A 25,425-nucleotide genomic window follows, 5' to 3' on the forward strand; every position below is an offset into this window, starting at 1 on the left:
AGATCTTGGATGAAAACTAACTAAATAAAAGTGGTGGAGTTAAATTCACTATTTAGAGTGTTATATGTCTTTATTACAGTTAATGGAAGCGCACCCAGGAAATATGTAGAAAACACAGTGCCAGAGAACTACACAGCTCTCAAGATTCCAGTGTTTCTCAGCTTCTGAAACAAAAAGCAGATTTGACTTTTTTTAGAACTTATGTAGAAAGTAACTGTCATTTTCCTAGTTGTAGCTCCTATTTTTCCCACCCTGCTGGCATATTTACTCTTCTTGCACAAGCATATCTTGTTTTTTGCCACATTCAGTGTTCATGCCATTCTCAACACCCTCTTCATCAAATCTGCCCATTCTAATTCTACCCATTCCTTTTCCTTCCAGTTTGAGCATTACTGAACATGTATAGGAAGCAAAAAATATGTTTTCGGCAGAGGGTGGTAGTGAAACAAGAGGAATAGAGCAAATATAGGTTAAACACCTAGAACATATTCAGCTTGGGTTCAGTTTTAATTGATTAATTTGATGTCATCATGTGTCAAGACCTCTCAGTGCCCTAGAGTCTAGACCCAAATGCCTGCCACTTTTCTATCCACTGATCACAGTCTCATGCAACCCTGGCCACTTCCTCCCTTTATCCATTCTACTATTCTTTCACTGGGTTTATTAAAATCCTTGTTTTCTTATTTTCTTTATAACAACCTTTTCTTCAAACACTTCTTATCCTTCACTAAAACTGAAAGGTCATTTCAAATCCCTAAAAATATATTTAAAATTAAAAATTTTTAAAAACATCGCTGTCACCAACATAAAAGCCCTTCTAATCAGTTTTCTCACCTATCAAAAGGAGAAATTTTCAAGATCATTTCTCTAGTTCTTTACAGGTAATTGGTAATAAATAATAAGAATTTCCCTAATTTAGTTATTAATGTATTACAGTCCTGATTTCTTAGAAGTGACAGCTCAATCATTTCTTACTTCAGCCAAATCATTTCTCTTCAGGGAGAGAATATAAGGTACCCAAGAGGTGAGGACACCCAAAGCATGATATTGCACTCTCATGACTAAGACAGTTATTAGCTCAAGTCCTTCAGTCTCCAAGCTGTTCCCTTCTGGGTAAGCCAACAAGCCACAAGGATTCATTCAAATGGTGAGTGGGACACAAAAATATTAAAACTAACATCAAAGATCAACTGGTTAAGGTCAAGGACTATTGAATATGAATTTCTGCATTTTGAAGGATGAAACTGCGCCGTTTTGCACTTCAAAAATGTGGTAAATCAGGTTTTTAGAACATCAGTGTTTGTCAGACAGAATGTGTTTCAAGGACTTGATTACAAAATCCTGCCAGAAACAGGAATCTGATCCCTAGGGAATTATTAAGTTCTGTTTATTCTAGTTACATGAAAGCATATTTAAGTGAAAAAAGTTAATGTTAGTTAAATCAGATAACAAATGGCTCTTTGGAGACTCTGGTGTGAGTCTCATGTGTGTCTGTGGTGTTTCTGTAACACTTCAGCTGGATGAGATGTCCTGCCTCATATTGTCATCATGCTCCCTCCACTTTCTGTCTTCTTTGAGACTGAAAGATATGAGAATTCTTCTAATCCAAAACCCCAAACAGGTGAAATTAGAAGTTTGGCTTAAATTTTATCTCAAATTTGAGGGTTATCAGGCAGCATAAAAGGCAAAGCTGACAAAAAGGCAAGCAGAATGGAAGCAAAAACGATAATCAAATACATAGCCACGCTTTCCACACAGTCTCAAGAAACAAAAGCAGCTGAAATGGGAACAACTCTCCTTGCTTACCCTTCAGAGACAAAGCAGCAGGAAATTGTAAGATTCCTCCCAGAGCCCCACTTGCGAGGAAGCCCATTTAGTAAATGGTATGAGTTGTGTGATCTGTTGTTATTGGTTTTCTTCCCTGGGAACATAGCACACTGGGGATTCAACTGTACCACAAAACGGTCTTCTAAAGCCTCAGACATGTCAAATGCAGACTGAGAACTGCTCTTTCTGGGTTTGCAAAGAGCCATAACTCTCCTTCTTGGCCCACTCATTCTTGGCACTCTTGAATTGCTGAGGAAAAGCTTTTGAACCCATCAGTCAAAGAGCTTGGTGCCATGGGCGGCCATTAGCTCAGCCTCATAACATCTGTTCTGTGTTTTTGTTGTATAGGGAACCTGAAGCCCACAGGATGAAAGTGAGGGGACCAGAACCAAGTCATGGAGAGGCTTCAGGGAGAGAAGCCCCTAAAACATAGCCTGTATCTTCATATTTATCAAAATTGGGTCTTTTTTTTTTTTTTTTTTTTTTTTTGGTCATTAACAAAGGTTTCTCTCAAAACGAAAAGGAAAAAAAGACCTCCAAAATAATGATTATAACAAAAATATACAGAAAATAATTCCCAAATGTATATATTTTGGGTGAGATTTTTATTATGTATAATAATATCTTCTGGGTGCCTCCTATATGCCAAGCAGTACTCTAAGTATTTTACATTTATTAATTAATGTAGTACTCACGGTAAGCCACAATAAATCAGCGGGGTAGATAACAGTATCATCTTTATCTCACAGGTGAGGGAAATGGGGTATGTCACATGTCTAAGGTCCCAGAACTACAAAATAGCAGAGCTGGGACTTGAACCCATGTTGCCTAGTTCCAGAACTCAGATTCTTAGCTATCAGATCATATTGCCTCTCATGCTTACCAAAGCATAAAAAGTCAAACAGAAAAATGAAAATCCAGTTTGGAGGCAGAAATTTCTCTTAAAGTACTGGTAATTGCTCTTACAGGAATCTAGAAATATCCAATATCTCTTTCTGGGGTCCATGGTGGGTGCACAGGACTCCACAAAAGGTACAAAAGGCATCTTTCAGTTCCTTCTGGTTCATAGACTCAGTATTGCTGTGCCACATCAGGCAGCAACAGGGCTTGCTGCACTTCCTACACTTGTGTGAGAAAGAAGTTAATGTGCCTTTGGAGCAATCATTCCCTGTTGATAATAAGCTATGTCAGTTAGGAATTGTGTCTCTTGGGCTCACTGCTGTACCTCCAGTGTATAATAAAGTGCCTGACTACAGCAGACATTCAGTCACTATTTAGTAAAGAGTTAATTCTGTCATGTGTATGTATCACATGCATGCCATATATGTTTACTGTGACTCTATCGTGAATGTATGCTTTTATTTTATTTTATTATGGAGACTGTTTTCCATAATTGTGAGTTGATAGAAAACAAACATCATACTTGACGAAATACCTAAATGAGTGCAGACTAGACTGTAAACATTGCATTTTTAAAGGAAGAAGGAATCTCTGCTTTAATCTAACTAAAATTAATCTGACAAAACTGTACATTTAATGGAAAATGGTTGAATAAAATATAGATGATATCTCTTTAAAGCATTTTTAATAAATTGGGGGCTCAAAATAAATTAGAGGTTCTCATTATAATTTAGAGCTGCCAACTATTTATTAGAAAGATTGACTTTGGTGGATATAATTTTTATGATACTATCTTTACTGCCCACATATTTTTGAAAAATATAGTCTATTAAATAGGATAATGATTCCTATTGAAGACTGTACCAAAATAGTAAAAAAAAAAAAAAAAAAATCAGTTGAATTTCATCCAGAACCAAAAGAGATTAAATTTACCTCATCCCTGGATATGGTGTATGGTATTTGGCTCAAATTGCATTTTTGCAGTAGGGTGGAGTTTGAGATCAAAAATACCAGAAAATTATGCATTTGTTGAAAGCCAACTTTCTGGCAACTAGGGTAAGCATTGTTTTGTCCTATTTCTGTGGAATTTTGGTCATATCCCAGCTATCAAAGAATATTATTTATTCCTACAGAACTATAGCCTCAAGAAAGACAGATATCGTATTTGCAATAGTCCTTAATTTAAATGTCAATTGTGTTTCTCCATTCACTGAAATAAAAGTACATATGGATAAACCAAGAGAAAACATTATACATTTAAACCCTTCACTTTAAAAATGAAAAACAAACAAAAGAAAGAGGGTGACAATTGATTGCCAGTTATACTGGCAAATCATTAACATTTTAGAGCTAAAAAAAAACCTTGAAAATAATTGTGGTTAATACTGAGTGTCAACTTGATTGGATTGAAGGACGCAAAGTATAGATTCTGGGTGTCTCTGTGAGGGTGCTGCCAAAGGAGATTAGCATTTGAGTCAGTGGACTGGGAAAGTTAGATGGACCCTCGATCTGGGTGGGCACCATCTAGTCACCCACCATTGTGGCCAGAATAAAAAGCAGGCAGGAAAAACATGAAAAGACTAGATTGGCATAGCCTCCCAGCCTACATCTTTCTCCCATGCTGGATGCTTCCTGCCCTTGAACATTGGATTCCAAGTTCTTCCGTTTTGTTACTTGGACTGGCTCTCCTTGCTCCTCACCTTGCAGACAGCCTATTGTGAGATCATGTGTTCGTGTAACTTAATAAACTCCCATCCTATTAGTTCTGTCCCTCTAGAGAACCCTGACTAATACAATAATCTATTCCTATCTTCTGGTTTCACAAACAAATAAATGGGGATAGTAAAAAGTACAATGATTTATCCATGAAATCACAACTACTGAAGGACAAAGCTGAGACTAGGACCCAGGTGTTCCATTTGTAGTCCAGATGTGTTTCATTGTTCCATGCAGTCCAGCTGCAATGCTGCCTTGTGCCACTCTTAGGAGATCTTGCTCAGTAGCATGGCATACTCAGCCTCTGGTGATAGTTCTGTGACTGGCTTTAACTTGAAGATACAATGCAGCTCCCTTGGAACCTGGCACCAAATGCCCTTGAGTCTGTGTATTGTGGTTATCAACACCATTGCCTGGACTTTGTTGGGCATGTGGGAGTTTAGTTTATTTTCAATTGTGTCATTCACTCATGACAGCCTGCATCAAACACATCATGGCCATGTATATTTTGTGCTATTATATAATAGAGATCTCTAAGAAACTTATCTAAGAGTTATTTTTTTCTGAGTAGTAAAATTCACTATATTTGCCATTGTCTGAAAAGAATTCTCTCTCAATCCCTTGCCTTCATCCTCTTTCAAAAAAAATCACATCTAATTTTTAATGGAGCATGAAAATTCCATGATAGAGCAGCACATATGAGAGTCAGAAAGACAAAACTCTGGTGTAACAAGTAACCTGTAAAGACTTGAGATGACTTCTTTGGTGCACCTAATCCTGTAATCCCATCAGTCACCAAACCAGAAAGGTCAATCCTGATGGTGTCAGTCCACCAACACAAACTTTGTTTCTGATGATATTTCTGTCCATTCAGCTGAAGTTTTATCACACAGGCTACCAGCAGATGCTTGGTTGTTCTCAGTGATGACCTGATACTGTCATGTCCATGTTCATACGTATCATCCCATTTACATTCTCATTTAGAAAACAAATTCCTTCTAAAATAAAGAATTATGTCCCATTTACTTTATCTCTTTCATTCTGCAAAACCTGGAGATGAATAGACATTATGCCATTCGCCACAGCCTATAGGATTATAATGAGGAAAGCCACCTGAGTTAGAAGTAAATCCAAACACTGTTTCATAATTGTTCATTTTCCTAGAATTGATAGAAGCACCATTTAGAGATGCAAGAAGCAGGGCAGTTGAAGTAATCATCAGCCTAATTGCCTCAACCCTTGGCTTTGTTTGAGCCCCAGGGGTCCACTTTTGGGAACTGACAGACTTAGATTGTGATGCCAGTCTGGTTTCTTGCATGCTTTCACTCAACAAGCCCCTTCATGACCACATGCATTTGATATCCACCAAGAGGACATAACATCTGCTTCCTCTCAAAAGTTCCATGTAATTTGTAGAGATCAATGGGAAATAGTCTCTGAAGCACAGAGCTATCAAGATTATTACTGTAAATTCCTAATTCTACCTATTTCATTTTAATAGAAATTCCAGTTTCATAAAATAAAAATTATTGGTAAGAGAGACTGGGGTGACATTTATAAGTCCTTTATGTAACATTTTATAGCTTTACACATAATTCAGTAATAAGAGGAAAAAGAAGAAACATTCCATATTTTCTCTCAAAATTATTTAGTCACATATATTCTTAATAGAATTCTTAAGAGAAATTATCAATTTTCATGAAATGACCTTAGTTATACCTTTGGTATAAGGATATTTTAAATTATATTAACAGTTTCATATTATAGTTATTGATAATAATGACAAATAATTCTCCAAAATATTCTAGCGGAAAACTGGAACTTTATTCCCTTTTTCATATACTCAAAGCATCATTCACTTCAGTTATTGCTATCATAACTTACAACTCAATAACGATTGTTGTGGGCAGCAAGCCACCCAGGCGCCGAGGCAAGAGACCAAGGACACGAGCTGTTCCAGTATAATAAAATATAAAACAAGAATAGTTATACCAGATATAGATCTTAGATATGATTATATATGAATATCATTAATCATTAGTTTCTAAACTATTTATAAGAGGTAACTAATACATAATAAAGTGAGCAGATGAGGTGCAATAATATCTCATCCATATCTATATCTATAGTGTTTATCCTGTATCTCAGGAATAGCAGTTAACAGCACAACTCAGAATAGAAACCCCAGTGTGAACCCCAGCCTAAGTTTCAGGTTGAAGCAGAATTAACTGACTAGAGTGGATGAGTGGAGTTGGTCTTTATTATTAGTGATCTGAATTTTTTTTTATTAAATACAATCACAACCATTCATGTACGGTGCCAAATCTTGTGCTAAGCCCTTTACATAGAATTTCCTCATTAATGATTATGTACTTGAAGCTCTAAGAAGTAGATCACACATAAGTAGCAAAGCCAAGAGTTGAACCCAGGCTCTCTGAGTCCAAGGTCAAGATCTTAATCTCATATGTAAATAGGTAGGTAAAAATTTAAAAAACTCAGGAGTTCAAGGCTGCAACGTGTTATGATCTTGCCACTACACTCCAGCCTAGGCAACAGAGTGAAACACTGTCTCTAAAAAAGCAAAAACAAAACCACACCATATTCTATCCCTTAATACATTCTAATAGCCAGAAAACTAAATGGTCAATTTCAAATAGGCAATTTGAAAAGAAGTACAAATGACTCTGAAAGTCAGAAAAGCTGTCGAATCTCTACTAATCAGGAAAATATGAATTGAAACAGCAATGTATTATCTGTTTTATCATCCATTATATTTGGATGTAAGTGTTAAAAACATTAACAATATCTGTTTTGGGTGAAGATGCTGATCTTGCTATTTCCTGTTATGTTCTGGAGATTTTGGAGAGGTGCCTGTCTCCCCTTGTCCTGGCAGCCTGTGACACTGTTATCACATTTCCCTCCCTCTGCTAACACAGAAAACCCCATGGCTAGCCCCACTATGTGTGTTCTAAGTTGAAGGAAGATATCACATCTGAGTTCCCTTTCTACTGAATCAGAAGCCTCTAGCAACCTCTACTCCTTCATTGTGACAAAGTAGCAGTGGGGTTTCAAGGTCTGACTTACCTGGCATTTATTCCAGTTCCAAGACTACCACATGCACCAGCACCTGTGCTGCAACCCTGCCCCTGAGGTCACTTCTTTTTCACATTCCTTTCTATCGATTTTGCAAGGCCCATTCCTTGCTGCTTAATCTCACTTCCTCTGACTTAACCCATTTCCTGTCTAGTACCTGTTTGCTCCTCCCTTCCTCTGGCACTCAATGTCCTTGTCTGCCTTATTTATAGTGTCTGCAAGATCTTCCTTTTCCCCTCCAAGCTTTCCTGGCTACCCTTGTTCCGAAGACCTGAACACCCTAGTTTCGCAACTTTGGGAATTCAACAACCAGTAAATTTTTTGTAAAATGTAGAGAATTGTCAGAAAACTGCCAAGTGTCAATTTTGCCAAGTTGGCCCATCAAAAATAAGAAATACCATCTATCATCACCCTCATTTTGTGAACAACAAGCATTTTAAGTTTAAAAATGGGGAAAGGTCATAATCTCAGACAATAAAAGTGTTTCTCAAAGAATACCAATTAAACAACTTTGGGTAGAGGAGAACCCTGATGTGGGGGAGGGATCTATGACTAGAAGAAGCTGATGTATTAGAAAACAGTCTGTCTGTCCAGCACAGGGATCCTCTTGGAAGTCAAAGCAAAACCACTTTTTGCAGCCCATCCCCACATCCTCTCCCACCTCAAGGTCCCTTGCTTGAGTTCCTCATCTGCTTATGCTAAAGGATCACATTAGCTGCTCATCTCTCTCAGAAAACACCATGCATCAACAGCTGCTGGCAAGCCACGGTGGAAGTGCCAGCAAAAAGATGCTCACTCATGCCTGGAGTATGCTGCTCTCCATCAGAGACACTACATAGACCCCTCATTGTGTTCTACAGCTTAGGGTACTTTAAGCCCCTCCCAAAGAGTAGAGTTCTTGACAGGCAGAGAGGCTGTGGAGGTGTGGAGGAAAAGCCTCAGCAGAAGTATTAGGGTGAAACTAGACAGTGGTGTCCCTATAGTGCTCATTTCATCAAGGATATGTAACTGTCCATAGAAAGGTTTTTAGGGCAATCACTGGCACGTACTTCAGGGTAAGATTTTAAATCCAAAGTGTTCTAATTATGGAGAATATGTTTAGGTGAACATAGTTCTTGAAATGCAGCTCTTTTCTTATAATCAAGTAAATTTTATTATTCATCCTGATTACTCATCAAAAATTTGTTCCAAAATCACAAGCTTAAGTGAATAAATGGCTTTTTTTGTTGTTATTAAATGCCTAGGTTCTAAGGTGTCAACTACTAGGTTCCAAGGTTTCAGTCCTCTCTTGTTATCAGTGGGGGATTGGTTTCAGTAGCCCCCACAGATACCAAAATTCGAGGATGCTCAAGTCCCTGATATAAAATGAGATAGTATTCGCATATAGCCTATGTACATTCTCTCATAATCTTTAAGTCACCTCTAGAGTAGTTATAATATCTAATACACATAAATGCTATGTAAGTAGCTATTATACTGTACTACTTAGGGGATAATGACAAGAAAAAAAGTCTGTACTATTCAGTACAGATGCAATTATTTTTCCGAATATTTTCAATCTGCATTTGGTTGAATCCATGGGTGTGGAACCGCAGAAGTGCTAGCAGATTTTGACCTGCATGTGCTAGCAGTAGAAATATCCTCACCCTCTGACTCAGGGCATCAAATCTTATACTTCTTATCAGGAAGCAGTGAAAGGAAATGGAAGGAACAGAGATAGGCCCACGGCCAAAAGGGCCTGAGTTATGAAAAGAAATTGGTCAACTTGGTCTACATGAGGATATCTGGGAAGGACAAACTGCATAGATGTCCCGCCTCCCCACGTGCCAAAGAAATATTAATGGTGTATTTGCTCCACTAACATTTGGTAGCAGAGGCAGTGTCTTGCCCCAGGCTTATTGCTAAATAATACAGAAGCTAGAAGGAAATGTAAGAAGAAAGTTGGGAATGTGAAACATGTGGTGAGGTCAGGACACACACACCCACATGCCCACACAACACATGACTATGTGGTTTTTTTCTATCACTGTGAACACAACTGCCATTTCTGTCACCATCATTAATTAAGAATGAAAATTCTTAAAACTTGCTGCACCATTCATCTGTAGAGCTAAGTAGGATTATTCCGGGCTTTCAGCCCAAGTTTTCTAAAAGCCTAGCTGATTAAAAGGCATTAACATTTGTGTTTTGCCAACACTGATTATACTGATTGCTGGCAAGTGTTTATGTGATAACCAAGACCTAACAAGAGAGATGCAGAAAAGCACAGTGAGCATAACACTCGTATATAAGAGATACCCACCAGTTGCTGAAGTAATCGCTTCTTCCTTGGCAAAGGAAGAAAGTTAACTCATCGTGGTCTTCAAGGCACCTTCTAGGGCTAACATTTTATGACTCTGTTGAACAGAAAACTTTTCAGAAGGCATCTGCCGAATAACATGAATAAAAATGCTTCAAAGGCTAGTTACAAATTTTAAGTACTCCATACTCTATTTTTGCCTCTTTTCCTTCTGTTTCTTACCCTGTATTCATTTTTCATTAATATTGCTAAACAAAGAGGAGAGAAAGAGAAGTTTTATTAAGTCAAATTTGATGGGATAGAAAGTTGAAGTTCTGAGATTATGCACAGAATTTTCCCACGTTTAGATTCTCTGAAATATGTCTTTCTTCAGTGGCTTTGAACAGGAAGAGTTAGCTGTGATTTGAACCTTAGCAAGCTTAAAGATTGGTTGTAAAAGCACCTCTAAAGGAGAATGCTGGCAGAAAATGCAATGAACTTCTGCTAGAGACCTCAACACAGCTGAGAATCTGGAAATTTGTGCTATTTGTGATAAGAATTTAAGCAACCAAAAGTCTTTTGTTTTTTGAAAATGAAACAAAACAAAAAGCAGCGACTTGCAAGTATACAGGAAGCTTATCTCCTTCAGTTCAGGAGTATTTGTTTGCCAACTAAGGGTTACTTTTCACAAATGTAAAGTTAAGTCAACAACTTTCTTGGCATTTATGACACTATATATAAAAGAGCCTGTGAAATATGAAATGAACTTTTCAGGTTTTGAAATTGATACACCAAGATTAGGAAAATAAACCGTTTGATGAGTGTTTTGCTGGCTCATTTAAACTACATTCCCAGTCATAACTCTTGATTTCCCAAGCAAGGAAACAGAAAGAGAAAGAGAACACAGTATGTTCTGAACAGAACTGAGTGCTCCTTGCATGACTTAGGAGTTAGATCCACGTGAAACATTTATGCTTACCATTACTTACCACTCCCATTGTTACTATTATTAATGTTGTACATTAGAATTAAGTAGTTTCCAGAGTGCTTTCATATATTTTTTTCTCATTTTTACATGACTTCCCAATACTGTGATGTAGATTAAACAGGAAGTATTCAGATATATTAAGTAATTTAGCATCCATCACCATTATCATCACCATCATCATCATTTAATGAGCACTTACTATTTGCTAGGCCCTGCACTCAATGTCTTATATGAATCATCTCAGTTAATCTTCACAACAATTCTATGCAATTGGCATTATTATTGTCTGTGTTTTATAGAAGAGAAAACATGGTTGATTGGGAACTGGAATCTGGAGCTTATGAGACCAATTTCAGTGTTCTCTCCATATTGTTTTAATAAGAGTTTAAAAAGAACAAAGAGAATCCTAAAGTTTCCAGTTCATTTCATATCAGTTTCTTTTAGACATAAATAAGACAAGAAAGAGACCATGAAAAGAAGGTTAAATTTTCAGCCTCTTCCCAAAATAAATACTTACAAAAATGCAATAGGCAAAAATATTTGCCATATCTTTTGGAATTTTGTAAATTGCAATAAACTTGCAATTCCACTGTATTTGCAGCTAAATGCAAAATTCTACATTTAATCCTGCTACTGACCAAACCATGTCTTTTTGTTAAAAAAAACAAAAAAAAATGTCTCTGTTAAAAAGCCTGACAGTGTGGTGTAGCCTACCATGACTGATAAAGCTCTTGAGCTTCCAAACCAGCCTGGTTGCAGCTTGGTTGGTCTTTAACTAGGTCAGATTCAATTTCCACTCAGTAAGTCTTTAATCAGTGTCTACTACATGATTGGTGTCAGGAGATGTGGAAGTAGACAGAACACTGGTTGTTTCTGCTCTTCTGAAGCTTACAATCAGACCAAGACAGATATAAGAGATGAATTATAGTGTAGTTTCACAACAGAAGATTTATCCTTGTCTTGGGACTTACAGGCACCTTCCCTGAAAAAAAAAATGGCATTTAGATGATACCTGAAGGAATGCCATTAGTCTGATGGAGAAATGGCATGAGGACTAGGAGACATTCACAAACTTAAGCAAAATTTACATCCCCCATGAGATGAAGGAGTTTTCCATAACCTACTACAAGGTAGAGGTTTTGAAAGAGAAGAGGTTAATATATAAAAAGTCAATCTTTAAAACATTTTCCTTGGTCAAGAATTCTCACTCTGAAGAACCTAGTTTATAACTGCCTATTCTGGAAGGAGGGTGAAAGCAACACACTACTGATGGTATCTTAGCTAATTGCAATAATGGTTTCATCAGCATCAGGGAAAAAAAGTAGGGTATGTATTTAAAAGCGCATAAGACAAGAAAGTACAGATTGAAAAAACTGATTGGAGAAGGAATAAAAATAGAGAAAAGGGAGGAATACTCTAAATTAAATAGAATTATAGTAAGAAAAACTAAAAATTTTACTATGATGAGCTCTCAATTACTTGCACGTGGCTGGAATAATTTACAACATATCATTCCATATTCATTTATACTGCACTTGGGACTACAAGGGAAGATTACATATTTGAGCAGATTCACTTTCCTATGTTTTGCTTAAGTTGGTTAAGACTATGTATGGGAAGCAAAAATACAGTAGAATCCTGGATTATTTTCCCTTCCCTTTGAATGTGAATTCCCAATTCACTTTAAAAATTATGCTTTTGTTTTGGATTGCTGAAGACACCAACTGACAGAATAAGAAAGCTGCCCATTGAGTGCTAGGAAAGGAAGAAACTGATAGCTTTCCAGAAGTAATCCATGCACTGAATAACCTCTATTTGTCCACCTCTATACACACATCAATCTTTTCCACCCTGCTCTGTGCTCCAAAGGTTGACCTGCATCAAGGAGCCCCTTGAGCTTTCAATTGGGTGTGGTCAATGGGAAGCACCAGTAGGAGATAAGAGAATGAGAGACCTATGAGATTAATGTACTCTACCTTCCCTGGGTGGTTTCCACTAAGGCTGCTCACACCCTCAAAAATAGTCCTGCATTAATCTCTCCTTAATGGCCTAAGCTTAATGTGCCATCTCTTTCCTCACCCCCAAAAATGGAAAAAGAAGTGCAATGCAAGGTTAAGGCAATGATGATAGACAAAGAAAAGGTATATTTATGAGATAGTATGTTAGATTAAGAAACCCATTTGAAAACATCTTTGAGAGATGTCCATTGTTTTCCTCTCATACCAAGAAGAGAGAGAACACCACATTAGAAGCAAATGAAAAAAGAGACAGCCAAACTATTTTGGACTGTGATTCACAATAACCCCTGAGGGATGGGGCATTTGGAGGAACTATTTGGGAGGAGTTGAAGATAAGCACATTGAACATTTCTGTAGCCTTTAAAAACAATAGTGCCTTCTAAATACTTACCTATGCAAATCTCCAGTGCCCTTTTCCCTCTTTGCCCAGGCTTAAGTAAACCAAGCCAAGATGACGTCAGTGGCCTCATTCTCACCTTCTTTCCTAAAGTGAATATTTTATAAGAATAGCTACCAATTTAGTAATCTTTTGCATAAGTATCAAGTTACAGACCTCAGTCTGCTGATGGTATAATGAGAAATAATAATTTCTTATCTCTTTACAACCACTGTGGTAAAGTTCTATTGGCTTCATCTCAGTTGTATACATTAAAAAAATACAATTTAGCTAGATGATAAATACTAACAAGTGAATCTCTCTCTAATATGTTTAAATCAATCATCAAATGTTTATTAACTACCTCTGCATCTTAGAGGGAAAAGAAGATATTACACTTCTTGAGGTAAAGCTGCTTATTTTAATGTCTCCCATCTTCCGGTGTTACTCCTTAAATAACAATGACAGCTAAATTATTTTTTCTCAGCCCAAGAATAATGCGTTGGGCTTCCTTTTTAATGACAACAATCTCTTTGTTGCCAAATGCTTCACGTCTTAAATAATGGCTTGGATCTTGGCTGCAATTACAAGATAAGCTTTTTTCTCATAACCTTTTCACAATAGATTTTCATCATCTCATTTATAAAGAAAATCAAAATTTGCATTCAACTTTAAGCTCTTGTGTCTAAAATTGGACACACCACTGGCACGTTTAGACAGTATTTATAAAGGAATAGAGTTTGCTTTAGAAGTTTTTATTTTTATTTAATTTTATCTCTAAAGGAAAAGAGAAGGAAAAATCTAATTGAAGTTAATAAAGAGCCAATAGAGGTTGAATGGCAAAGTGGCAGAGTAACTTAAAAGTGAAGACAATAAATATATTTCTATTAAGTAAAGTGTGCTAAGTCCAAGATATTCCCCAAAAAATCTATTTACCTTACAACATTTCTCAGTAACATCTGAGATCCAGATAATATGGCCCTACATGGATTTGATGTATAACAAAATGCATGTTGCCAGGTAATAAAGGCCACCATACCTATGAATTTGACACGGTGAGTGACATCTTCATTGCTCTGAATAAACCTCACAATAATAGCCATGGTCTAATAAAATCAAGATGTACCTAGGAGTTAGCAAGAAACTTCTTTCAGGCAAAGTTGTCAGTTCAATTTTTCCAGAACCCAAGCTGGGACTTTGTATAACCTGAGAGTAAACATCCCTCAGGCCAGGACTTGAGAAATACCAAACTCTAAACTTGCGGAGAAGTGTCTGTTCCTGATCCGGTGTTCCAGCTTCCTGGCTTGCTCTAAATGTCTCCTTCCTTCAATATTAGGCAAGTATTGCCAGCTTTTATGGTAGGTGGGATTTGCCCATATTACAGTCTGAAATCAGAGAAAACATTCAAAACTAAATGAGACAATGGCTAATTCAAAGGCAACATCTGTGGGAAATATGGTTGCAAACTAAGAAGGCAAGTTGTCTATCAGGAGACAAGTGATTCATAAATGTTTCTGGCAGGCACTCACACAGATGGAGTTGTACACACATGCTATTTTTTTTCCACTAAGATTTCTGCCTAACACAGAGTAAGTGATTGCAGGCCTGAGTGAATATGCATTGCAATCTGAAGCAAATGTAATGAACTTTCTGATCAAAGCACAATTGAATCTCTTTCCATGTGGAATTCACAACTCTGGCTTCTTCCTTTCAGTAGGCAACTTGGGGAGATTCTCCACTGAAATGTTTGTGCAGGTGCAAATATTGTGACTTCCCTCCTGGAGGGGATTTCAACCTTGACAGGATATAGAGGGAAGAAAAGTCCTGTGCTTATTTCCCAAGAGCTCTAGAAAAAAAAATGCCATAAATCCTGTTTGGGCCTAGGGTTGAGACATAGAGATGGTCTCTAAGTGAAAACATCACACACACAGAATTTGAGAATGGTGGAATTGGGGTCTTAAAAGTTCACAATCCAAACTTCTCATTGTACAGAAACTGAGATCCAAGAAAGTCAAATGATTCATAATTAGTCAATGAGGGAACCAGGATTAGAACCCAGTTGTCTTGATCCCTCTTGATTCCAAGTTTAGTAAGCTTTTTCCCCATTATGACATTGATTTTTTTTTCATTCATCAATTCATTGTCCACCATATGGCAAGCTATATTCTGAGTTCTGGACAAAGAACAAGCAACAAGACAGATAAAAGTTCTACCTCAATTAGTTTACATTCTTGTGGAAGAGATGAACAAAATTTAGATCAACAAATAGATAGTATCATGTCAGGTGGGTAAATGCTGCAAGGAGAATAAATGAAGGTCAAAGGATAGAGAATGATGAGGGGATGCTATACAAAAGAGATTAATCAGCCTGGGCATGGTGGCTCATGTCTGTAATCCCAGCACTTTGGGAGACTGAAGTGGGAGAATTGCTTGAGGTCAGAAGTTTGAGACCTGCCTGAGCAACATAGCAAGATCCCATCTCTATAAATAAAAAATTAGGCAGGTGGAGTGGCAGGAACCTGTAATGCCAGCTACTCAGGAAGCTGAGCTGAGAGCATCACTCAAATTGGGAATTTGAGGCTGCAATGAGCTATGATAGCTCCAGTGTACTCCAGCCTGGGTGATAGAACAAGATCTTGTGTCTAAAAAAAGAGAGAGAGGTGAGGGTTAATCAAAGGAACTGTCTCCAAGTGATATTTAAGCAGACTCTGAATGAAGTAAGGGTGCAAGCCACACAAGCAATGTGGGAAGAACTGTCTCACTGAGAGAACAATATGTGCAAAGTCCAGGAAGCTGGAATGAGCTTAGCGTGTTTTTGTATGGCTGTCATGGAATAAATGAAGGTGAGGAGGAGTGAAGAGGAGGGCAGAGAGGCCACTAGAGGGCTTTCAGCAGGGAAACAATGACCTTATTCAGCTTTTTATAAGATTATTCTGGCTGTTATGTGAAGAATGGGGGAAAGAATAAGAGGAGATCCAAGAGGCCAATGAGGAAGCATCTCCCTAAAGCAGAAGTTAAGTTCTTGAGAGAAGGGGCTTTTATTTGACTTACTCATTGTTGCAAAATTAGCACCAAGAATAGTGCCTGATACATTACAAGCACCTTCTAAGTCTTTGCTGAACAAATGGACACCTGAGAGATGGAGCTAAGGAGAAAGTTGATAGTGGCTTGGACGAGGATAATAGCAGTAAAAACAATAAGAAATTTTTGGGTGGAAGTATGTTTTGAAAGTAGAAGTGACAAGAACAGTTTCAAGATTAAATGTGAATATTTTGTAAGAAAGAACTTAAGATTGACTCCTAGGTTTATAGTCTAAGCCCACCAGGTGAATAGCATTGACTTCTCAGGTCAGTGGGAGAAATTAAGAATTCTGATCATGTTACATTTGAGCTATATACTTGTCTTTAAAATGAAAATATTGAGTAAGAAGTTGAATTAAGATGTCTGGAGCTCAGAGGAGAGATTAAGATTGGAGACATAAGTGGATAGTGTTTAAAATCATTGAACATAATAAGATGACCCAAAGAATAAGTGTGATGGGAAATTGATAAAGTCCAAGAAACTCTTGTCATTCCAACATTTACAGGTCAGTAATGAAAGGACCAACAAAGGATTTTTGATTAACACAAAATAATACAGATGAAGAAGCCTGAAAAAAAGAAACACCAAAAATTGTGGTGTGCTAGAAGCCAAGTGTGAAAGTGCATTTTAAAAAGGAGTGATAAACACTTTTAGTTGCTCCCAAAAGGTCAAGATAAAGACTGAGAATTGACCACAGAATTTGGGAACACCTAGAGCACTGGTATTCAGTTTTCATGGCATGATGAGGACAAACCTCACTGAGTGAGTTCAAGAGGAAATGAAAGAAAAAAAAAGGGAGACAATAACAGGCAATCTTTGCAGAAATTTTGCCTCATATAAAGGGAGTAAAGAAATGGAGAAACAGCTGGAAAATAACAAGGAGATCAAAGGAGGGTTTTATGGGCTTTTTTTTTTTTTAAGTGCAAGACATTACAGCATGTTTACATGCTGATAGGAAGATCCAGTAGAACTGAAGGAATTCATGTTGGAAAGAAATGGGCAAGAGAAAAATCTAGGTTAGACAACAGAAAACAAGATCCAGTGCACAAGTGGAGGACTTAACAGTAGAAAAGAGTAGACACAGTATATCTGAAAGGGACTAAAGGTACAATATACTGGTACAGATATTATTTAGTGGTAGAAAAGAAAGTCCTTTTCTACTTGCTTCTTTTTCTCCAGTGATAGGGAACTTCAAAAAGCCCATGGACATGGAATTGAAAGATAAAAACTATGAAGTATTTCTTACCATAAGCCCCATCAAGTTCAAGATGCTTTTGTAACCAATGAAATCAGCCATGGTCTATCGCTAAAGAACTGAGGGTCTTGGGAATTTAACCATGTCACTGGAGACTTTTTTACAGTATTCACTGAAAAGAAAATGGGCACCTTTTACAGATTTTTTAAGATTGGGAAACAAAAAGAAGTTAGAAGAGGCAAATTAGGATGTTAATTGTGCCCCATTTAAATCCCAAAATTGTTCTTTGATGAGAGGAATGAGCAGGAGCACTTTCATGGAGGAGAAGGACTCTCTGGTGAAGCTTTCCGAGGCATTTTTCTGCAAAGCTTTGACTAACATTCTCAAAACACTTTAATAATGTTATCATTCTTTGGCATTCCAGAAAGTCAACAAGCAAAATATCTTAAGCATCCCCAAAAAACTGATTCCATGAACTTGGTTCTTGACTGGTCCATTTTTGCTTTGACTGGACCAATTCCACTGCTTAGTAGCCATTGCTTTGATTGTACTTTGTATTCAGGATCATATTAGTGAAGCCACTTTCAACCTCCTGTTAACAATACTTCAGAGAACTTCTTCAGGATCTTAATCTCACTGCTTTAAAATTTCCATCAAAAGCTTCGCTCTTATCTGCAGCTGATCTGGGTGTAATGATTTTGACCCTAGTTGAGTACAAAGTTTACTCAACTTTAATTTTTCCATCAGAATTGTGTAAGCTGGGCCAGCTGAGATGGCTATGGTGTTGAAAATTGTTTCTGCTGTTAATCATCAATCCTCTTCAATTTGTGCAAATGAGATTAATTTTTTTCCTCACAAATTGATGGGGTTGGTTTGCCACCGTGGGCTTCATCTCCAACATTGTCTCATCCTTTCTCAAAATGAGATATCCATTTTTAAACTGCTGATTTCTTTGGGGGTTTTCCCCCATAAACTTTTCATAAAGCATCAATAATTTCATCATTCTTTTATGCAAGCTTCACCATAAATTTGTTGTTCTGACTTCAATTTTAGCAGGATTCGTGTTACACTGACAGGAGCTCTTTTTAAATTGATTTCTTATCCTTGTTAGTGTCTTCAACTAGATTCCATTCAGTCATGTTACAATAAGTTAGTACAAGTTTATTTTGGTACAAAATTTTGAAATCCATGCATAGTTTTTTTGTAATATGCATTTCCCACGAACATTTGAAGACAAACTGAATAACAAAAAGGTCATCAACTGAGAACAATGGGAAGGAAAGAGTAGCTGAGATATGAAGAAAAGGGAGAAAGTGAGAAAATGTGTAGGACATTGATTTCTGGCAAGATACTCTAGGTAGCAGCAGCAGAGAGTGAAATAGCATCGGAAAACATCAAACGCAGTCATTAAGTGGCCAAAGAATGGGGAACATCTGTGGGGCCAGGTGTGCACATATAAGGGGGAGAGGTGGGCTCCAAATAAGAAAAAAAAAATTAAGAAAAAAGAGGCAGGAGTTGTTTTAGACAATTTCTACCTACTTCAAATCCAGCTGCAAAGCTAGTAGAAGAAAGGAAATAACTAAAATCAGAAAAGAACTAAATGAAATTGAGACCCAAAAGTCCATTAAAAAGATCAATAAAATCAGGAGTTCGTTCTTTGAAAAAATAAGCAAAATTGATAGATCATTAGCTTGATTAACAGAGACGATCCAAATAAGCACAATCAGAAATGAAAAAGATGATATTACAACTGATCCCACAGAAATATAAAAGATCCTCAGAGACTATTATAAACATCTCTATGCACACAAATTAGAAAATCTAGAGGAATTCATAAATTTCTGGAAATACACAAACTCCCAAGATTGAATCAGGAGGAAAGTGGAAAGAGACAAATAATAAGTGTAAAAATGGAATCAGTAATAAGAAACCTATCAACCAAAAAGAGCCCTGAACCAGATGGATTCACAGCCAAATTCTACCACACATAGAAATAGCAAATGATACCAATCCTACTGAAAAATCGAGGAGGGGCTTGTCCCTAACTCATTCTTTGAAGCCAGCATCAGCCTGATATCAAAATCTGGAAGAGACACAATGAACCAAGAAAACTTCAGGCCAATATCCTTGATGAACATGGACATAAACATCCTTAACAAAATACTAGCAAACAAAATTCAGCAGCACGTCAAAAAGTTAATTCATCTTAATGAAGAAGGCTTTATTTCTGGGATGCAAGATCGGTTCAACATATGCAAATCAATAAATGTGATTTACCACATGAAAGAATTAAAACCAAAAACCATACAATCATTAGAGTAGGTGCAGAAAAAGCCTTCAATAAAATCCAATATCCCTCATGACAAAAAACCCTCAACAGACTAGCATCAAAGGAACATACCTCAAAATATTAAGAGCCATCTATGGCAAACCCACAGCCAACATCATGCTGAATGAGCAAAAGCTGGAATCCTCCCCTTGAGAACTGGAACAAGACAAAGATGTCCACTCTCACCACTTCTATTCAACAATGTAATAGAAGTCCTAGCCATGGCCAGGTGTGGTGGCTTATGCCTGTAATCCCAGTACTTTGGGAGGCAGAGGCATGCAGATCACCTGAGGTCAGGAGTTTGATACCAATCTGGCCAACATGGCAGAATCCCATCTGTACTAAAAACACAAAAATTAGCTGGGCATGGTGGCTCATGCTCGAATCCCAGCTACTCCGGAGGCTGAGGCAGGAGAATTGCTTGAACCCGGGAGGTGGAGGTTGCAGTGAGCCAAGATTGTGCCACTGCACTCCAACCTAGGTGACAGAGTAAGACTCCATCTCAAAAACAAAAAAAAAAAAAAAAAAAAAAGGAAGTCCTAGCCAGAGCAAAATTGGAAAAGAAGTCAAACTGTCTCTTTTTGCCAATGTTATGACTCAATACATAGAAAACCCTAAAGACACTGCCAAAAGGCTTCTGGAACTGATAAATGACACAAAGTTTCAGGATACAAAATAAATGTACAAAAATCAGTAATATTTTTATACATCAATAGTGTTCTAGCTGAGAACCAAATCAAGAACACAATCGCATTTTCAACAGCCACAAAAAATAAATACTGGCTGGTCGCGGTGGCTCACGCATGTAATCCCAGCACTTTGGGAGGCTGAGACGGGTGGATCTCCTGAGGTCAGGAGTTCGAGACCAGCCTGACCAACATGGTGAAACCCCATCTCTACTAAAAATACAAAAATTAGCCGGGCGTGATGGTGGGTGCCTGTAATCCTAGCTACTCGGGGAGCCGAGGCAGGAGAATCGCTTGAACCCGGGAGGCAGATGTTGCAGTGAGCCAAGATCACACCACTGCATTCCAGCCTGGGTGACAGAGCAAGACTTCATCTCAAGAAAAAAAAAAAGTGTAACTGTTATTTTATTTTCCTATCCCCTACCTTATATCCTTTTAGTGGCTTTTAGTTGCATCTAGGGTAAAAACTTAGATCATTACTGTTAGCATAGTCAACAAAGCTATTGAGTTTTGCCTGTCTATAGCCAGTGAAGTTGCAGTGAGCCAAGATCGTGCCATTGCACTCCAGCCTAAGCAACAAGAGAAGAAAAAAGGAAAATTAAATATCTAAGAATTTCTCTAACAAAGGGGTGAAAGATCTCTACAATGAGAACTACAAAACACTACTGAAAGAAATCAGAGATGACACAAATAAAATGGAAAAATATTCCATGCTCATGGACTGGAAGAATTAATAAAATTAAAATGGCCATATTGCCCAGTGCAATTTTCAGATTCAACACTATCCCTATAAAAATACCAATATCATTTTTCACAAATTAGAAAAACCTATTCTAAAATTAGTTGGGAATGAAAACAGAGCCAAAGCAATTCTAAGCAAAAAGAACAAAGTCTGAGGCATCACATTGCCTGACTTCAAACTATACTACAAGGCCACAGTAATCAAAACACTATGGTACTAGAAAAAAAAAAAAGACATGTAGACCAGTGGAACAGAATAGAGAACCCACAAATAAACCTGCACACCTACAACCATCTGATCTTTGACAAAATCAACAAAAGTAACCAATAAGGAAAGGACCCCCTGTTCAATAAATGGTGTTGGAATAACAGGCTAGCCATATGCAGAAGAATGAAACTGGACTGCTACCTCTCCCCATATACAAAAATTACTCAAGATGTATTAAAGATTTAAATGTAAAACCCAAAACTATAAAAATCCTAGAAGAAAACCCAGGAATACCCTTTTTGACATAGGTTTTGGCAAATAATTTATGACTCTTTCCAAAAACAATTGCAACAAAAACAAAAATAGACAAATGGAACCTAATTAAACTAAACAGCTTCTGCACAGCAGAAGATATTACCAATAGAGTAAACAGACAGCCTACACAATCGGAGAAAATATTTACAAACTATGCACCTGACAAAGTTCTTATATCCAGAATCTATACAGAATTTAAACTAATCCACAAGCAAAACCCAAAAAATCCAATAATAAATGAGCAAAGGACATGAACAGACACTTCTCAAAAGAAGACATGTATATGGCCAACAAACATGAAAAATTACTCAACAACATCACTAATCATCAGAGAAATGCCAATCGAAACCACAATGTGATATCACCTCACACCAGTCAAGAGTGGTGATTATTAAATAACAAATGCTGGTGAGGCTGTGGAGAAAAGGACATGCTTACAAATTGTTAGTGGGAATGTAAACTCCCACTATTTAGTTCAGTCCCTGTGGAAAGCAGTTTGGAGATTTCTCAAAGAACTTAAAACAGAACTAGCATTCAACCAAGCAATCCCACTACTGAGTATATACCAAAAGGAAAATAATTCATCCTGTCAAAAAGACACATATATGTATTCATTGCAGCACTATTCATTAGCAAAGACACAGAATCAACCTAAGTACCCATTAACAATAGACTGGATAAACAAAATATGGTACATATATACCATGGAATACTATGCAGCCCCATAAAAAAGAATGAAATCATGTTCTTTGCAGCAATACGGATGGAGTTGGAGGCCATTATCCTAAGCAAGTTAACCCAAGAGCAGAAAACCAAATACCACATATTGTCATTTATAAGTGGGAGTTAAACTTTGAATACACATGAATGTAAAGAGGGGAACCACAGATACTGGGACAGTAGATGGGGGAAGGAGGGAGGAAGGTATAAACTGAAGAACCACGTGTTGGGTACTAAGCTTACTGCCTGGGTGATGGGATCATTGGAACTCCACACCTCAACATCATTTAATTTACTATGTAACAAACCTGCATGTGTATCCTGTAATCTATAATAAAAATTGAAATTATAAAAAAATTAAAGAGAACATCAAGATGGAATAGATAAATCTTGCTCATTATGGATATGAAAATATTAAAAAGTAATAAAATATTTTTTCTGAATAAAGGAGGAAAGCATTTATCACCTAAAAGTATTAGTTCTTTCATTTGAATACCTCAAAATGAAAAAATATAGTCACACTCTGAGTCAACAATCACACTGACTCTGTAGGTCCATGAAGTAGGATCCATGAATACTATGACATTTAATTACACAGTAAAGCATTCTGTATAGGAAAGATTAATAATGTAAGTTAATTACCTAAGAAAAATAATAGTAACAATTACAGAATTATATTTTCCTTCAGTGTGCTTGAGAGTATAATAATTGGAAAGACTTACTCATTTAATCTGAATAGTTCTATTATTTATTCTCTATGGTGGTTTTTATTTTTAGATGCTTCGTTTTTATGGAAGGTTTTAATTAATTCCTTTTATTGTTTCATTAATCTTTTTTATATATATTTTTTATTATACTTTAAGTTCTAGGGTACATGTGCACAACATGCAGGTTTGTTACGTTTGTATACATGTGCCATGTTGGTGTGCTGCACCCATTAACTCATCATTTACATTAGGTATATCTCCTAATGCTATCCCTCCCCCCTCCCCCGACCCCACACACTGGGGCCTGTTGTTTTATTAATCTTTCTCTTAACTACAGTTTTAGATGACAGTGAGATTCAAATCTTTGAGTAGTTTGAGGGTTTCCTTTTTCCTTTAAAACTTCTAAAGCACATAAATTCCAACATGAAAGATCCAAAAAAAGCAATATAAAAAAAAAACAGCTTAGCAAGCTTGGAATTTCTTTGGGTTAAAGGAACCATAACATTGTTATTTTCAAACTGGGTTCTTGCATCACTTTGTTGGGAAAGAGGATCTCCAAAACATGCACATAACACAAATACACACACACACACACAAACTTTATTTCAAACTCAAATTTAGGGAAAGTCTTTGCATGGCATTTAGATTTCATTGTAAGGAAATGTTCTCATAGTTAATTTTCTTTTGTTTTTATTTGAATTTAAAATGAACTTTCTATTTGAAATATCTTGCATTTTGCTAATTTGATGTTGAACAGAATATTTTCAAAGTGATTAACTCAACATATTCTTCTAAGTTAAAACCCTTCTGACTTTCAAAAAAATTCTTCTTTATTTTTTCATAAGCTCCTTTTACATATTTTGCTGAGCTACATTCACACTGAGTTTCTGGAGGAATGTCACTATGAACACAAGATACACCTGCATATGCCCATTTGGATTTCTTCGTGTGAAGCAGAAGCCCTCTGGCCCCACCAGTCAAGACCACAGCTAGATGGCTACTTTTTTGAATGAGCTGAACTCAGTAGAAAGGAAAGACAAAAGGGTCATTGCTCTACAGTGTTCATTCCTGCTACGATCAATCCCTTTTTTTTCTTTGAGACAGAGTCTCGCTCTGTCGCACAGGCTGGAGTGCAGTGGTGAGATCTCGGCTCACAGCAAGCTCTGCCTCCTGGGTTCACGCCATTCTCCTGCCTCAGCCTCCCGAGTAGCTGGGGCTACAGGCACCCACCACCATGCCCCGCTAATTTTTTTTTTTTTTTTTTTTTGTATTTTTAGTAGAGATGGGGTTTCACCATGTTAGCCAGGATGGTCTCGATCTCCTGACCTCGTGATCTGCCCACCTCGGCCTCCCAAAGTGCTGGGATTACAGGCATGAGCCACCGTGCCCGGCCGATCAATCCCTTCTATCTATGTTGCTATACCCAAGTAACTGCATAATCTGAGGGCTGAGAACCAGGGCTAAGTAAGATAAAGGCTTGGGAGCCTAGGAGTTACAGAAAAGGGCCTGGATTGGAACAATTAGCCAATCTAAGGTCATATAATGTCAAAAGCTCAGTCTTTGAAGTTAGACCTATGTTTAAGATCTAGCCACACAATTTAGTGGGTGTTTAATCTTCAAAAAATGTACTTAGTTTCTCTGGCCTGAACTATACAATGGGAATAATAATGGCCCTACCTCAAAGGCTTGTAAGGATCAAAAGATATGATGATGTAAGGCGCTATACAGTTTGAATGTTTGTCCCCTCCAAAACTCATGTTGCAATTTAATTGCCACTATAACAGTATTAAGAGATGGGACTTTTAAGAGGTGATAAGGCCATGAGGTCTTCACTCTCATGGGTGGGGTTGGTAACTCTTGGCCTCTCTTGCCCTTCCACCTTCCACTATTGGATGACAAAGCAAGAAGGCCCTTGTCTAATGCCAGCCCCTCAATCTTGGACTTCCCAGCCTCCAGAACTGTGAGAAAATTAATTTTGTTCATTATAAATTACCCAGTCTGTGGTATTTTGTTATAGCAGCGCAGAGCCAATAAGACATAAGGCAACTAGCATACAAAGCATGAGTTAAGCTTTCATTGATTCAGTTTATAGACGAGGAAATGGATCTCAGTGAATGCTCAAAAAAGTCCCATGAGGTAGGCTCCATTGTAACCATCTCTGTTTTATAGATAAAGAAACCAAAGCACAGAGAGTTTGAGTAGCTTGCTCAAGAATATAGCCAGGCAGGGCCAGAGATATAATCTAAC

General features: G+C 37.3%; 2 long non-coding RNA genes across 8 annotated transcripts in view; both read right to left on the reverse strand.

Annotated features, from left to right (window-relative positions):
- The window catches only part of LOC105374005 (uncharacterized), a 46,233-nt gene extending 33,945 nt beyond the window's left edge, over positions 1 to 12,288 (reverse strand). For both annotated transcript variants that reach the window (XR_007095985.1, XR_001740466.3), the window contains exon 1: positions 9,839 to 12,288. This is a non-coding gene — a long non-coding RNA (uncharacterized LOC105374005). The remainder of the gene's footprint in view (positions 1 to 9,838) is intronic.
- The window catches only part of LOC105374007 (uncharacterized), a 175,630-nt gene that overhangs the window by 112,806 nt on the left and 37,399 nt on the right, over positions 1 to 25,425 (reverse strand). For 4 of the 6 annotated variants that reach the window (XR_001740465.2, XR_001740461.3, XR_001740464.1 and 1 more), the window contains exon 3: positions 13,218 to 14,581. The exons of 1 other annotated variant lie outside the window; for it this stretch is intronic. This is a non-coding gene — a long non-coding RNA (uncharacterized LOC105374007). Of the gene's footprint in view, positions 1 to 13,211; positions 14,582 to 25,425 lie in introns of those variants that run through there. One more of the 6 variants, XR_924270.3, reaches the window with a different exon arrangement.

This window comes from Homo sapiens, chromosome 3 (genome assembly GCF_000001405.40).
Source record: "Homo sapiens chromosome 3, GRCh38.p14 Primary Assembly".
Classification (NCBI taxonomy): domain Eukaryota; kingdom Metazoa; phylum Chordata; class Mammalia; order Primates; family Hominidae; genus Homo; species Homo sapiens.